At 54.3% G+C, this 13990-nt stretch overlaps 1 protein-coding gene across 15 annotated transcripts, besides 7 other annotated features; it reads right to left on the minus strand.

The window, feature by feature from the left end:
- Positions 1–34: 34 nt before the first annotated feature.
- Positions 35–13983, minus strand: ZDHHC19 (zDHHC palmitoyltransferase 19). 15 transcript variants are annotated; one of them, XR_001740011.2, is made up of 9 exons: positions 13753–13983; positions 13199–13320; positions 11959–12098; positions 10971–11143; positions 9981–10086; positions 1372–1452; positions 1035–1242; positions 859–930; positions 35–308 (listed from the first exon to the last, which is right to left on the minus strand). XR_001740011.2 is itself a non-coding variant. In XM_006713494.3 (8 exons), exons 1-7 carry the CDS (start codon positions 13896–13898, stop codon positions 878–880), a joined length of 852 nt encoding a protein of 283 aa, XP_006713557.1. In that variant the 5' UTR covers positions 13899–13983; the 3' UTR covers positions 35–308; positions 859–877. The 15 variants fall into 15 exon arrangements, 4 of the variants coding, with proteins under 4 accessions (XP_006713557.1, XP_006713556.1, NP_001034706.1 ...); XR_001740012.2 differs by having other exon boundaries at positions 1035–1173; positions 1372–1457; XR_924098.2 differs by having other exon boundaries at positions 1372–1457.
- Positions 671–1616: an enhancer, noted in NCBI's record as "H3K4me1 hESC enhancer chr3:195924959-195925904 (GRCh37/hg19 assembly coordinates)". NCBI's record gives its function as "activates a minimal SCP1, AML or CMV promoter by ChIP-STARR-seq in naive H9 embryonic stem cells {active_cell/tissue: H9 hESC(naive)}" and the evidence as "EXISTENCE:reporter gene assay evidence [ECO:0000049][PMID:30033119]".
- Positions 5257–5792: an enhancer, noted in NCBI's record as "H3K27ac-H3K4me1 hESC enhancer chr3:195929545-195930080 (GRCh37/hg19 assembly coordinates)". NCBI's record gives its function as "activates a minimal SCP1, AML or CMV promoter by ChIP-STARR-seq in naive H9 embryonic stem cells {active_cell/tissue: H9 hESC(naive)}" and the evidence as "EXISTENCE:reporter gene assay evidence [ECO:0000049][PMID:30033119]".
- Positions 5413–5512: an enhancer, noted in NCBI's record as "active region_21078". NCBI's record gives its function as "activates an Ori minimal core promoter by ATAC-STARR-seq in GM12878 lymphoblastoid cells {active_cell/tissue: GM12878}" and the evidence as "EXISTENCE:reporter gene assay evidence [ECO:0000049][PMID:35858748]".
- Positions 5835–6336: an enhancer, noted in NCBI's record as "H3K4me1 hESC enhancer chr3:195930123-195930624 (GRCh37/hg19 assembly coordinates)". NCBI's record gives its function as "activates a minimal SCP1, AML or CMV promoter by ChIP-STARR-seq in naive H9 embryonic stem cells {active_cell/tissue: H9 hESC(naive)}" and the evidence as "EXISTENCE:reporter gene assay evidence [ECO:0000049][PMID:30033119]".
- Positions 6337–6836: an enhancer, noted in NCBI's record as "H3K4me1 hESC enhancer chr3:195930625-195931124 (GRCh37/hg19 assembly coordinates)". NCBI's record gives its function as "activates a minimal SCP1, AML or CMV promoter by ChIP-STARR-seq in naive H9 embryonic stem cells {active_cell/tissue: H9 hESC(naive)}" and the evidence as "EXISTENCE:reporter gene assay evidence [ECO:0000049][PMID:30033119]".
- Positions 10029–10148: a silencer, noted in NCBI's record as "silent region_15057". NCBI's record gives its function as "represses an Ori minimal core promoter by ATAC-STARR-seq in GM12878 lymphoblastoid cells {active_cell/tissue: GM12878}" and the evidence as "EXISTENCE:reporter gene assay evidence [ECO:0000049][PMID:35858748]".
- Positions 10406–10555: a silencer, noted in NCBI's record as "silent region_15058". NCBI's record gives its function as "represses an Ori minimal core promoter by ATAC-STARR-seq in GM12878 lymphoblastoid cells {active_cell/tissue: GM12878}" and the evidence as "EXISTENCE:reporter gene assay evidence [ECO:0000049][PMID:35858748]".
- Positions 13984–13990: the final 7 nt, after the last annotated feature.

The following is a 13990-nucleotide window of genomic DNA, read 5'->3' on the forward strand; positions in this document are numbered from 1 at the left end:
TCACCCAGGACGGACATGCGCAGCGTGACAGTTGTAAGAGGCAGGCAAGAGTATTTAATGGGCATTGAGGGTCTTGGCAGTCCCACCAGGGGAGTGGGCAAAGGGCAAGGCACAGAAAGGCTTCCACTCAGGGCTCAGGAAGTGGGAGGTAAGGAGGCAGGTTCAGGAGGCGGGTTCAGGAGGCGGGTTCGGAGGTGAGCTCAGGTGCTGGTGCTGTGGGCATCTCCGGGTGCACAGGGGCGAGAGGAAGGCCGAACCTCGCCTGGGGGCTCCTGCAGCAGCAGGGGCAGCACTGGGCCCGTGTGGAACTAAACACAGAACAGGGGCATGAGTGCTCTCAACAAGACCCCGCCCCGCAGCTCGTGCCAGGTCTCCTGCTCCTGGAGGCAAAGGGAGCGGGCTGGCCCCACAGAATGTGCTGCAGAGGCCCCGGGGCGCAGGGGTTGCCCAGCCCCACGGTGGCCTCCTGATGCTCCACCTCCATGTCTCACGGGGCTTCGAGTCAATGTTTCCTTTAAATAAAAGAGTCTCCCGCCACCCGCACCCCCTGGCCAAATTATAAACCACGAGACTCATCTCAGTCCTGCGAGTAGGTGACTGGCCTGAGGCCCATCAGCACATGTAGTGGGGGAGTCATCCTCCATTTGTCTTTGTGACTCCAGGGACTCCTGGGTGTATTCTAGAGGCCTGGGCCCTGCTTCCAACGCCCCTCCAGTGTAGAACCCTCCTCCCCCCAAGCTCGGAGCGCTCCAGCTTCAGGGTCAGCCAAACCTCAGGGGCCTCCCCCCACACCCTCACAACCTGCAGACACCCCCCTCCCGACACGCACAGACACCCACGCACACACACGCTTCTTACCTCCTGGAGAGCTGCAGCCTCACCACGCCCCGGGGGTCCCTTCCCTGCTTTGTAGGGACCCAGAGGTTGGGGCTGGGGGGTTGAGAGCAGAGGGGGACATTGGAGGGTGCAGATTCGGCATGGATGTCCAGTCAGGCCCCACCACTCTCTGCAGCTGGACAGCTTCAGCCATGTACCTGGGGAGCAGCAGGCCAGATGCAGGGGCCACCGTCCTCCCTGGTCCGGCTCCCCTGCCCGCCTCAGCTTGGGAAGCACACGGCCCAGGGCTTAGCTCTGCAGGAAGCTGAGGCCAGCCTCATCCAGGATGCAGCAGCCCTGTATGCCATAGTGGGGCAGGAACACACAGAGCCAAGGACGTAGGGAGGCCCCAGAGCTCCCAGTGCCCTGGAGAAAACCCCAGAGGAGCAGGAACAGTGAGTGTAAGGGCCTGGGGCTGTGGTAAGGAGCCAGGGTGAACCCACCTCTGCCCCACCCCCAGGGTTCACCAGTTGGGCCTCTGGCTTGCCAACTCACTTGGGTCCCAGTGGTGCACAAATTGTTAAATACCAGTTGCTGGCACAGCCCTGGTCGAAGGGGTTGTATCCCTGAAGGTGTCTGCACTGGTCGGGGATGGAAACCGGAAGAGGAGCTCAGAACCAGCAGGAATGGCTGGGCCATCGCCCAGTGGCCCTCCCTGAGCTGGTCAGCTAGCCAGGGCTCAGCCCAGGGCACCAGCAAGCTGGAGGCCAGGAGACTGAAGGACCTCCCCACCACTGCCCCATCCTCCTCCTCTTGGTCTCCACTGGCCACACACATCCTCCTGCTACCTCCTTCCAGATACTGAATGTCACTGTCTGGAAGGTCAGTTGAGCAAGGCCCAGTCGTATTTCCCTAACCATGATCACATGGCCCAGGAAAATCTGGGCTAAAAGCCTTGAACACGCAATGCGGTAAAGGCCAAGTCGTCCCCTGGGCACTCTTGACCTTGATCAGGTTCTCTCCCTCCTCTCTCCCCTTCGCCCACTCACTCTACCCATCCACCTCACCCCCTCCCAAACTCCCTCTCCGCCACAGGGCAGGCTGGGCCTCACCTGACTTCAAGAGCCTTTGCTGTCATGTTTTGTCACTGAAAGTGGCCCAGCAGCATCTCTGCCCACCACCAACTCCCCTGTGTCCCATGTCCCCGCTCTCCGCCGCAAAGGCTGAGATTTTCAACACCATTCTCCACCAAAGGAACCAGGACTCCATGCAAGGACAGCTGGCACTCACTGGAGGGAGGAAAAGTCTGGACAGCTCCATAACAGCTCACTGTCGCCACTCACTGTTGCCATAGGGCAATACGCATCCTTGCACTATTTGAGATTCTGCCTACTTTAAGGTATTTAAAGCATGTAAAAGAAACGTATTGGCCGGGTGAGATGGCTCACGCCTGTAATCCCTGCACTTTGGGAGGCCGAGGCAGGTGGATCACTTGAGGTCAGGAGTTTGAGACCAGCCTGGCCAACATGGTGAAACCCCATCTCTACTAAAAATACAAAAAATTAGCCAGGCGTGGTGGCGGGTGCCTGTGATCCCAGCTACTCGGGAGGCTGAGACAGAAGAATCGCTTGAACCCGGGAGGCGGAGGTTGCAGTGAGCCGAGATCATGCCACTGCACTCCAGCCTGGGCGACAGAGCGACACTCTGGCTCAGAAAAAAGAAACTGGTATTGTATTAGTCATTTAGAAGATTTTGATTAAATTTATGGAATTTGGGCCAGGCATGGTGATTGGCACCTGTAATCCGAGTGTTTTGGGAGGTGGAGAAGGGAGGATCTCTTGACCCCAGAAGTTCAAGACCAGCCTGAGACTTTCATCTCTAAAAAAATAAAAATAGGTGGCTGTGGCATTGTGCACCTGTAGTCTCAGCTTCTTGGGAGGCTGGGATGAGAGGATCCCTTGAGCCTAGGAGTTCGAGGCTGCAGTGAGCTATGATTACGCCACTGCACTCCAGCCTGAATGACAGAGTGGGACCCTGTCTCTAGAAAAACTAAAATCTAATAAAAATATATTGACAGAATTTTAAAATTTAGGGATATATATATATATATGTATATATATATATAATTTTTTTTTTTTTGAGATGGAGTCTTGCTCTGTCACCCAGGCTGGAGTGCAGTGGCGCGATCTCAGCTCACTGCAAGCTCCGCCTCCCAGGTTCACGCCATTCTCCTGCCTCAGCCTCCCAAGTAGCTGGGATTACAGGTGCTCGCCACCACGCCCAGCTAATTTTTTGTATTTTTAGTAGAGACGGGGTTTCACCGTGTTAGCCAGGATGGTCTCGATCTCCTGACCTCGTGATCCGCCCACCTTGGCCTCCCAAAGTGCTGGGATTACAAGCGTGAGCCACCACGCCTGGCCTTTTTTTTTTTTTTTTTTAGACGCAGTTTTGCTCTTGTTGCCCAGGCTGGAGTGCAGTGATCATAGGTCCTCACAAATTCAAACTCCTGGGCTCAAGGGATCCTCCCACCTCTGTCTCCCAAGTAGCTGAGACTACAGGCATGCACCACTATGCCCAGCCAATTTTTAATTTTTTTTGCAGGAATGGGGTCTGGCTATGTTGCCCAGGCTGGTCTTGAACTCCTGGCCTCAAGCGATCTTCCCACCTCAGCCTTTCAAAGGGCTGGGATTACAGGTGTGAGTCACTGTACCCGGCATTAGGGAAATAAATTTTTATTTATTAGATGTATATAAGGTATAGAAAAATGTTGATTGTATATGAGGCATAGAAAAATGCTTAAAGGAATGATGATCTTTAATAAATTCATAAGACTGACCCATACATTTTTCTTTTTTTTGAGACGGAGTCTCACTGTGTCGCCCAGGCTGGAGTGCAGTGGCACGATCTTGGCTCACTGCAACCTCCGCCTCCCGGGTTCAAGCGATTCTTCTGCTTCAGCCTCCCAAGTAGCTGGGATTACAGGCACCCACCATCACGCCCAGCTAATTTTTGTATTTTTAGTAGAGACGGGGTTTCACTGTGTTGGCCAGTCTCGAACTCCTGACCTCATGATCCGCCCACCTCGGCCTCCCAAAGTGCTGGGATTACAGCCGTGAGCCACCGCACCGGGCCAAAACTGACCAATACATTTGTACCTGCCTCTCCCACGCAAGATGCTTTCAGATATGAATGAAACCAACAGCTCTTGGCCGGGCACCGTGGCTCACACCTGTAATCCCAGCACTTTGGAAGGCCAAGGCGGGTGGATCACTTGAGGCCAGGAGTTCGAGACCAGCCTGGCCAACATGGAAGAACCCGGTCTACTAAAAATGCAAAAATTAGTCGGGCATGGTGGCATGTGCCTGTAATCCCAACTACTCAGGAGGCTGAGGCAGGAGAATCGCTTGAACCTAGGAGGTGGAGGTTGCAGTGAGCCGAGATAGCACCACTGCACTCCAGCCTGGACGACAGAGTGAGACTCTGTCTCAAAAAATAAAAAAAGAAAAAGAAACCAACAGCTCTGAAGCACTCAGACTGTCCACCTCACTGTCTCCAGACCTGGGGCTCCTGCTCCGATTCTGTGTCTGAAACTGCCTGACACTCCACGGGACCAAAGCCAGGGTGAGCTGCTTCTTGCTCCGTCTCCCACCCAACCCCCCTCTCCCCATTCCCCGCCAGGGATCAGGGCATCTGGCTTCTCTCTCTTTTTGTCTTTTCGTCCCTCCCAAAGTGCTATGGATTCCTTTGTTGGTTGGTTCACTCACTGTTTCAGGAATATTTTGGGGCCTTAAAAATGTTCCAGGGGCCGGGCGTGGTGGCTCATGCCTGTAATCCCAGCACTTTGGGAGGCCAAGATGGGTGGAGCATTTGAGGTCACAAGTTCAAGACCAGCCTGGCCAACATAGTGAAATCCCGTCTCTAATAAAATACGAAAATTTTTAGTAGGGTGTGGTGGTGCACGCCCGTAGTTCCAGCTGCTTGGGAGGCTGAGGCCGGAGAATCACTTGAACCCAGGAGGTGGAGGCTGCGGTCAGCCGAGGTGACGCCATTGCACTCCAGCCGGGACAACAGCGTGAGAGACTCCGTCTCAAAAAGGAAAAAAAAAAAGTTCCAAGGGCTGGTCTGAAAGCAGTGGTTTATCTCGCCTGTTCAGTAAGTTACAGACCCAATTCCTTGTTCTACTCTTTCCTCGCTGCTCACTACTGTCCTTGCCGTCAAGAAAAAATAAAAATAAAAAAAGGAAAGTTCCAGTCACTGTGCTGGGGGTTGAGGACGCACTGCACACGACATATCCCGGGCCAGCCTCAACCTTCAGGGTGGCGAGGGCAGCACCGAGGGAAGGAGCAGGAACCCAGGCAGAGGCGCCCAGGCACACGCAGAGGAGCCGCGCAGGAGGCCAGAGGCTGAGCCCTGAGGGGCGGGGACAGGCCGCTTCCCTGCGTGCAGTTTCACAAGCTCAAGCTGCTGTGTGCGGTCCGGAAAGAGTAGTATGAGGCCTGACCACTGGCTTTGGCCGCCTGGTGAGAGCAGCATCCGTGTGACAGTGAGCACAGCGGCCGGCTGAAGCTGCCGGGGAAGGGGGAGAGTGGGGCAAGTGAGCACTGCCGGCCCTGTCAGGAGACTTGGCTGCTGGAGAGCAGAGTAGAGCAGCGGGAGTGGAGGCTGGCGATGTTAAGGGAGGGTTTTGCTTTGCTTTTAAGATGAGAGAGACAGGAGCATGTGTAAATGGTGATGAAAATGAATGGTGCCAGGCGCAGTGGCTCAGCCTGTAATCCCAGCACTTTGGGAGGCCGAGGCGAGTGGCTCACCTGAGGTCAGGAGTTCGAGACCAGCCTGGCCAACATGGTGAAACCCCGTCTCTACTAAAAATACAAAAAATCAGGTGGGCATGGTGACGTGCACCTGTAATTCCAGCTACTCGGGAGGCTGAGGCAGGAGAATCGCTTGAACCCAGGAGGCCAAGATCACACCACTGCACTCCAGCCTGAGTGACAGAGAAATACTCTGTCTCAAAAAAGAAAAAAAAAGAAAGAAAGAAGAAAGAAAGAGAGAGAGAAATTGAACGGTATTAATAGTAGCGACATCTAGAGCACTCACTTGTACCAGCTGCTACTCTATGTCTTAAACTCACCCATGCTGCCCATTTTACAGTTGGGGAAAGTGGACGCCTAGGTGGCTAAGTAATATACCCAGGATCTCTCTGCTGGTATGCTGTGGAGCTGTGATGTGAACATGTGTGAACTGGATCCAGAGACCTTGCTATCAACCACAGGCAGAGTTGCAGCCCAGGGATGGAGGAGGAAGGGAATGAGATTTGGGGCATGTGAAGAAGGCCTGAGGCAGGTGCTGCGGGCTGCGGGAAGGAGCCCTGCCTGGTGAATCGCAGGCCACGTTAGGGTCCCTGGAGGCTGGAGATCCTGGATCAGGAGGGCAGCATTCTGGGCAGGGGAGGGAGGGCAGGAAGAACCACAGGATGTGAGAAGGGCGAAGGCTGCCCAGAAAAGGCTGAAACGATGCACTGAGGCTGGGGAGGGTCCACATGCAGACCAGAGCGGGCTGATGAGGAAGGGCGGAGCTGGGGAGTCACAGGTGGGGGAGCCAAATATGGGTGTGGTGGAGTGATTGAAGGGTGACTGGGATGGGAGGTGGTGGGCAGAGAGGGCGCCTGTGTCCTTCCAGCTGTCTGATACCTGCAGCTCCTCCCTCATCAATGCTGCCCATCAGTTTTCCTAGAACAGCCAGTGACCTGCTGAAGGAGTCTCATGGCGCGGATGTCCACCCTCACCACTCCTGCTCCACATTGTGCTAGAGGTCCAAGACAGTGCAATAAGAAGAGAAAAAAATAAAGCCATACAGATTGGAAAAGAAGAAGTGAAACTGTCCTTTTTCACAGACAACAGGATTTCCTATGTAGAATCAACAAAAAAGCTATTGGAACTAATAAATGGGTCTAGCAAAATGGCAGGATTCAACACCAATTCAAAAAAATCCATTGTATTTCCTTATAATAATGAACAAATGGAAATTGAAATTTTAAAAAACATGCTTACAATAGCACAAAAAAAGAAATACATATAAATCTAACAAAATGGATACAAAATCTATATGCTGAAAAACACAAAATAAGGATGAAAGACATCGAAGAAGACGTAAATAAATGGAGAGGTGTGGCATGTTCATGAATTCACTCAATCTTGTTAGAATGTCAATTCTCCCCAAACTGATCTATAGGCTCAATGAAATTCCAGTGAAAATCCTAGCAGATTTTTTTGTAACAAATAATAAGGAAACAATACAATTTTTTAAATGGACAAAAGATTGGAACAGACACTTCACCATAGTTACACAGATGGCAAAGAAGAACATGAAAATATGCTTAAACCATTAGTCATTAGGAAAATACAAACTGAAGCCACACTGAGATGCCACTACACATGTCTTATACCGGCTTAAACAAAAAACAACTGACAACATCAAACGTTCGTAAGGATGCAAAGCAATTGGAATTCTTATATATTACGGGTAGGAATGCAAAATAGTACCACTATTTTGGAAGACAATTTGGCAATTTATTATGAAATTAAACATTCAGGCCGGACACAGTGGCTCACGCCTATAATCCCAGCACTTTGGGAGGCTGAGGCAGGCAGATCACTTGAGGTCAGGAGTTCCAGACCAGCCTGGCCAACATGGTGAACCCCATCTCTACTAAAAATGCAAAAATTAGCCCGGCGTGGTGGCTCACACCTGTTGTCTTAGCTACCTGGGAGGCTGAGGTGGGAGGATCACTTGAATCTGGGAGGTGGAGGTTGCAGTGAGCCAAGATCGAGCCACTGCACTCCATCCTGGGTGACAGAGTGAGACTCCATCTCAAACGAACAAACAAAAAACCACATTCAATTACCATATGACCCCTTCAAGTATTTACCCCAAAGAAATGAAAACTTATGTTCACATGCCTGTACACCAGTGTTTATAGCAGCTTTATTTATTATAATCCCCCAAACTAGAAATAACACAAACATCTTCAATTGGTAAATGGATAATCTATTGAACATCCATACAATGCAATACCGTACGGCAATCAAAAGGAATAAACGACTGCTATGAGCAACAACATGAATGAATCTCGAATGTATTGTGCTAAGTGAAAGAAGCCAGACTCACAAGCCAACAATTTCAGTTATTCTGGAAAAGGAAAGTGATAAGGACAGAGGACAGATCAGTGGTTGCCAAAAGCCACAGGTAGGGGGAGAAATTGACTACAAAAGACCATGATCTCTGATTTTTGGGTGGGATGGACCTGTTCTAAATATTGATTGTGGTGGTGGCTGCAGGACTGTATCCGTGTGTCAGAACTCATACTGTATACTAGAAAAGGATGAGTATTACATAGGTAGATTATTGCTCAATAAACGACTTTTTGTTTTGGTTTTTGTTTGTTTTGAGACAGAGTCTGGCTCTGTCTCCCAAGCTGGAGTGCAGTGGCATGATCTCAGCTCACTGCAGCTTCTGCCTCCCAGGTTCAAGAGATTCTCTGCCTCAGCCTCCAAATAGCTGGGATTACAGGCACATGCCACCATGCCTGGCTAATTTTTGTATTTTTTGTAGAGACAGGGTTTCGCCATGTTGGCCAGGCTGGTCTCGAACTCCTGACCTGGCCTCAAGTGATCCACCCACCTCGGCCTCCCAAAGTGCTGGGATTGCAGGTGTGGGCCATGCACCCGTCCAATAAACTTGGCTTTTAAGAAATTCTACCCTGGCTCTCATACCATGATTTCATCATCAAGCCTAAATTCTCCACCTGACTTTCTGGGGTTGTTTTGTTTTGTTTTTGAGACAGAGTCTCAATCTGTCACCCAGGCTGGAGTGCAATGACACAATCTCGGCTCACTGCAACTTCTGCTTCCCAGGTTCAAGCGATTCTTGTGCCTCAGTCTCCCGAGTAGCTGGGACTACAGGTGTGCCCCACCACACCTGGCTAATTTTTGTATTTTTAGTAGAAACAGGGTTTCACCTTGTTGGCCAGGCTGGTCTCGAACTCCCAGTCTCAGGTCATCTGGCCACCTCGGCCTCCCAAAGTGCTGGGATTACAGGTGTGAGCCACTGCACCCAGCCTGGGCATTTTTTTTTAAGACAGGGTCTTGCTCTATTGCCCAGGCTGGAGTGCAGTGGTGCAATCACAGCTCACTGACTGCAGCCTCCATCTCCCGGGCTCAAACAATCCTCCCACCTCAGCCTCTGGAGTAGCTGGGACTAAAGGCACGTGCCACCGTGCCTGGCTAATTTTTTAATTTTTTGTAGAGATGAAGTCTCGTTTTGTTGCCCAGGCTGGTCTCAAACTCCGGGGCTCAAGTGATCCTCCTGCCTCAGCCTCCCAAAGCGCTAGAATTACAGGCATGAGCCACGGGGCACAGCTTGGAACTTTTTCTTTTCTTTTCTTTTCTTTTTTTTTTTTTTTTTTTGGAGGCAGAGTCTCGCTCTGCTGCCCAGGCTGGAGTGCATGGTACGATCTGGGCTCACTGCAAGCTCCGCCTCTCCGGTTCACGCCATTCCCCAGCCTGGACCTTTTTAATGTGGCCAACAGAAGCAGTCGACTTGGTTGCCCACACCACCTTCTTGCCCCAGTTAGAATTGTTTCCTCTCCATCCTATCAACATTCCACAGACTTTCAGGCTTCCCTGAGTTTTTGCAAAGGTGTCCCCTCACCCGCAATGCCCTCCTCTCCGTCTTCTGTCTCTCCCGAACCCCTAAGCTGCACGTCCTACCCTACCATGTGGTCCTCCCTCAACCCTCAATGCCTGAGTCTGCGCCACACAGCTCAGGACCGGCCCCCTCTCTGAGTGTTCGTGGGTATCTGGTGGGTGTTACTCTGATTTCAGGTTCCTCATCAACACGAGTGTGGAATGTAGCCTTACTCACCTCTATTCCCATCGCTCAAAGAATCCAAACCGCCTAGCACACAGTAGGCCCCCAGGAAGGACAGGGACCACTGAGCTCCCGGAGGAGGCGAGATTGGAGCCTCTTAAGAGCTGGGTCTGGAGGGACCTAACGAGGCACCATCGCGGGTGGGGGTCAGGCTATCAGGGCCAAGGGCAGTGGAGAAAGCGCGGGAAGCGCGGAGGTCCCCGAGGTGCAAGCTGACCACCCGCGGCCCCGCGTACCTTGCCCTTGTAGGTGCGGTCGGCCGAGCTCACGGACAGTGCCTGGATCAGCAGCAGGAGGGACAGCGGCACCAGGAGGCCCGCGGCGGACACGGCCACCACGATGCTGCGCGGGTTAAGGAACCGGGCTGCGGGACCCCCACGCCTGGCCCCGCCCCCCAGGCCCGACTCCGCCCCGAGCCCCGCCCCGCCCCCGGACGCCCGCCCCTCAGGCCCGACTCCGCCCCGAGCCCCGCCCCGCCCCTGGCCCCGCCCCCAGGCCCGACTCCGCCCCGAGCCCCGCCCCGCCCCCGGACGCCCGCCCCTCAGGCCCGACTCCGCCCCGAGCCCCGCCCCGCCCCTGGCCCCGCCCCTCAGGCCCGACTCCGCCCCGAGCCCCGCCCCGCCCCCCGGACGCCCGCCCACCCGCCCCGTCCCCTGGCTCCACCCTCATCCCGCCCACCCCCTTGAAAGCCTGACTCCACCCCGCTGTCCCCGCCCGTCCAGATCTGCGGTGCACCTTTAGCACCCGCTCCGTGACCCCGCCAGATTCCTTTTTCTTTTCTTTTCTTTTCTTTTGAGGCACAATCACCGCTCACTGCAGCCTCGACCTCCCTCCCCGGTTCAAGCGGTCCTACCACCTCAGCCTTCCAGGTAGCTGGGACTATAGGCGCGAGCCATCACGCCCGGCTAATTTTTCTATTTTTTTGTAGAGACGGGGTCTATGTTGCCCAGGCTGGTCTGGGTCTCGGGCTGAAGCGATCCTCCCGCCTCGGCCTCCCAAAGTGCCGGAATTACAGGCGTGAGCCACCGCGCCGGCCCGGGGGAGGCTTAACGCTCCGCCCCTTCTCCTAGCCCCGCCCATCCCCCGACCCCGCCCACCTCACCTCGTCCCAGACTGGTCCTCCCAGGCGGCTTCTCCCTCTAGCCCCGCCCCCATAGCCCCGCCCTCTGCAGCCCCCTCCTTGGCTGTCCCCGCCTCCTCTCCTGCTTCCCCACGTGGGCGGATACGCGATGGCCTTGTCGGTGGAGAAGGGCAGGTGGGTTGTGCGCACCAGGAAGATGAGACAGGTGACCAGCATGGCGCCCGAGTAGAGGCACAGGGACAGGACAAGCAGCATGAAGAAGCGGAAGTTGCGGTGACCGATGCAGTTATTGACCCACTTGCAGTGGTGGTCAAAGTCCTGGGCGACAGGGAGAGGGGCCAGGCTTGAGGACTTCTCCTCTGGCCCAAATTCCATCACCCCAAATCCTGAGGCCCTCCCCCTGCCTTCTAGGCCACCTGCCCTTGGCCCATGCACTGGCTTCCACCCCCAGGGAGAAACTGAGCCACAGAATGCCTCATGCTGGCATTTCCCTTGTTAGAGCACAGTTAGGACTCTGGTATATACGGTCACCTGTCAGAAGACCTTTAGAGAGAAGACTGGCCTGGCCTTCTGTGAGACACATCCTACTGTAACTCTGGGCAGAACGTAAACCATCTCTGGACCTCCACTTTCTCATCCATTCGATGAAGATGACAGTAACAGTAACACCCTTGCCCAGCCAGCCTCCTGCACTTGTAAACCTATGCAAGCCGTGCTCTCGAGAGAGATGGTCACTCAGAGCCAGGAGACCCTCCAACTTGGACACCCAGGCGAGGACAGGCAAGGCCTCCCAGACCAGGCGGGCAGCCAGCCTGAGGGGCTTGGGTATCTCGTGTTAGCGAGCCCAGGGGTGGGACAGAGGGCTGCCTCTCCTCCCCTGGCCTGACCCAGCCCAGGACAGATGCGGATGCCCTGTGCATGTCAGCACCTCTGCAGGCAACGGCCAGCCTCCCAGGACAGGTGCAGGTGGAGAACACATGAGTGACCAAGGGTGGCTGGGAGTTACTGCCACCCTTGGCCTTTAGCAGTCCTGAAAACAGCTTCACACCCAGCCCTGGCCCCTGTATGAGGGAGGCTCCTGGTCCCAGCCAGATGTGGGGCGATGGCTGGTGGACAGGTAGAGGGGCACTCACCTCCACACAGATGTTGCACCAGGGGCAGTGGTAAGTCCGGGGCGGGCGGTGGAAGCAGCACTTTGGACACCATTGCAGGCGGAAGGCCCCGTGGTTCACCCACACCACGTGCACCGTCAAGGGGCCCTGCTCAGCGGAGCCTGGCGTGGGAAGAGGATTGGGCACAGCAGAAGGCCCTGCGGTCACCCCGCGGCGGGGGCAGCTCCACGGCATCACAGGGCACAAGGAAGGGTGGGGACAAGGTGGGCAGGGGAACCCCTGTCCCCACTGAGCAAGCTGTCCAAGCTCAGAGAGGATGGCAGTCAAAGGGAAGACGGGTTTCCAGCCAGGAGAGTTTTGTATGAAACTCAGGCGTTTGGAACAGTGAGTGCTGCTTTGAGTGTCATTGTGTAGTGAAGGGAGGAAGTGCATACAGTGGTTTGGAAGAGCCCACTGGCTTCTGGCCCTGGCCTGCCCGGTCCTCCCATCTAAGGCAACTGGGAAACCTCAACAATTCTGTTTTTCCACACCTTGGTGGCTTAAGAAACGGGGTAGGGCCGGGCGCGGGGGCTCACGCCTGTAATCCCAGCACTTTGGGAGGCCGAGGTGGGCTGATCATGAGGTCAGGAGTTCGAGACCAGCCTGGCCAATATGGTGAAACCCCATCTCTACTAAAAATACAAAAAATTAGCTGGGCGTGGTAGCATGCTCCTGTAGCCCCAGCTACTTGGGAGGCTGAGGCAGACGAATCGCTTGAACCTGGGAGGTGGAGCTTGCAGTGAGCGGAGATTGCGCCACTGCACTCCCGCCTGGGCAGCAAAGCGAGACTCTGTCTCAACAAAAAGAAAAGGAAAGAGAGAAAGAAAGAAGAAAGGAAAGAAGGAAAGAAAGAAAGAAAAAGAAAGAAAGAAAAGAGAAAGAAAGAAAGAAAGAAGGAAGGAAGGAAAGAGAGAGGAAGAAAGGAAAGAAGGAAAGAAAGAAAGAAAGAAAAGAGAAAGAAAGAAAGAAGGAAGGAAGGAAAGAGAGAGGAAGGAAGGAAAGAAAGAGGGAGAGAGAGAGGAAGGAAGGAAAGAAAGAAAGAGAAAGAAAGAAAGAAAAGAGAAGAGAAGAAAGAGTGAGCGAGGGCCAGAGCAATGAAGACGTGGGGTGAAGGGGTCCAGAGGCTGGAGGAGGGTCAGTAGGAAGAGCACTTTAGGAATCCCCCCTGCAGGTTCCCAGCCCTTGAGTGACACCTCCTTTTCCCAGGGGGCTGATGCCTCACCTTGATGTAAGATGCCAGGGTCTGAGAAGTTGAGTGAAACAAGACTGAAGAAGGTAAGGACAAAGAGGGAGCCTGTGATAACAGGAAAGGCCCACTCCCCGTTCTGAGCCAGCCACCTGCAACTGAGACCAGAGGCAGGCTCGGTCCTGAGCAGGGGCAGCCCAAAGCCCCCGGCCCAAGGCCTGTGGCTTGCTCAGGTCAGGACCCACAGACCTTCAAGCCAGATCTAAAAATCCAGGCTCCAAATACCCAGGCAGACTCATAATGGCTCCACCAAATGTCACCAGCATGACCAGCCACCCAAAGCTCCCAAAATGCACAGGCACCCTTGACCTCTGCGCCTTTGCACGTCGGTTCCTGGAACAGAATATCCCCTTTTCCCTGCCCGCACCCTTGACCTCTGCACCTTTGCACGTCGGTTCCCTCGAACAGAATATCCCCTTTTCCCTGACCTCTCCCCCGGTCTTCTGCACTCCCCTGCCTCCATCCTATCATCTTCTGTTTCCCTGGCTGTCTCTTTGTGGGAAACCTAACGGCTTGCCTGGAAAACTCACGGGAATGCGAAGAAGAGGCCACTGAAAAAGACCAGCAGCACCACATTGAAGGCAGCAAAGAGGCTAGGGAGGAACCAGGGACGTGGGACCAGAGGCAGGGGATGGGGCTCCTTCACCAGCGGCGTGGCATCCGTTAAGAGTGTCATGGCTGGGCCTCCTTCGCCTCCAGGGGAGGTCAGAGCCACCAGGCTTCCTCCCCCAGCCCAGCTTCCAGAGCTCCATGGCCACGGCAGCCTCA

Source organism: Homo sapiens, chromosome 3 (assembly GCF_000001405.40).
Source record: "Homo sapiens chromosome 3, GRCh38.p14 Primary Assembly".
NCBI classification, from domain to species: domain Eukaryota; kingdom Metazoa; phylum Chordata; class Mammalia; order Primates; family Hominidae; genus Homo; species Homo sapiens.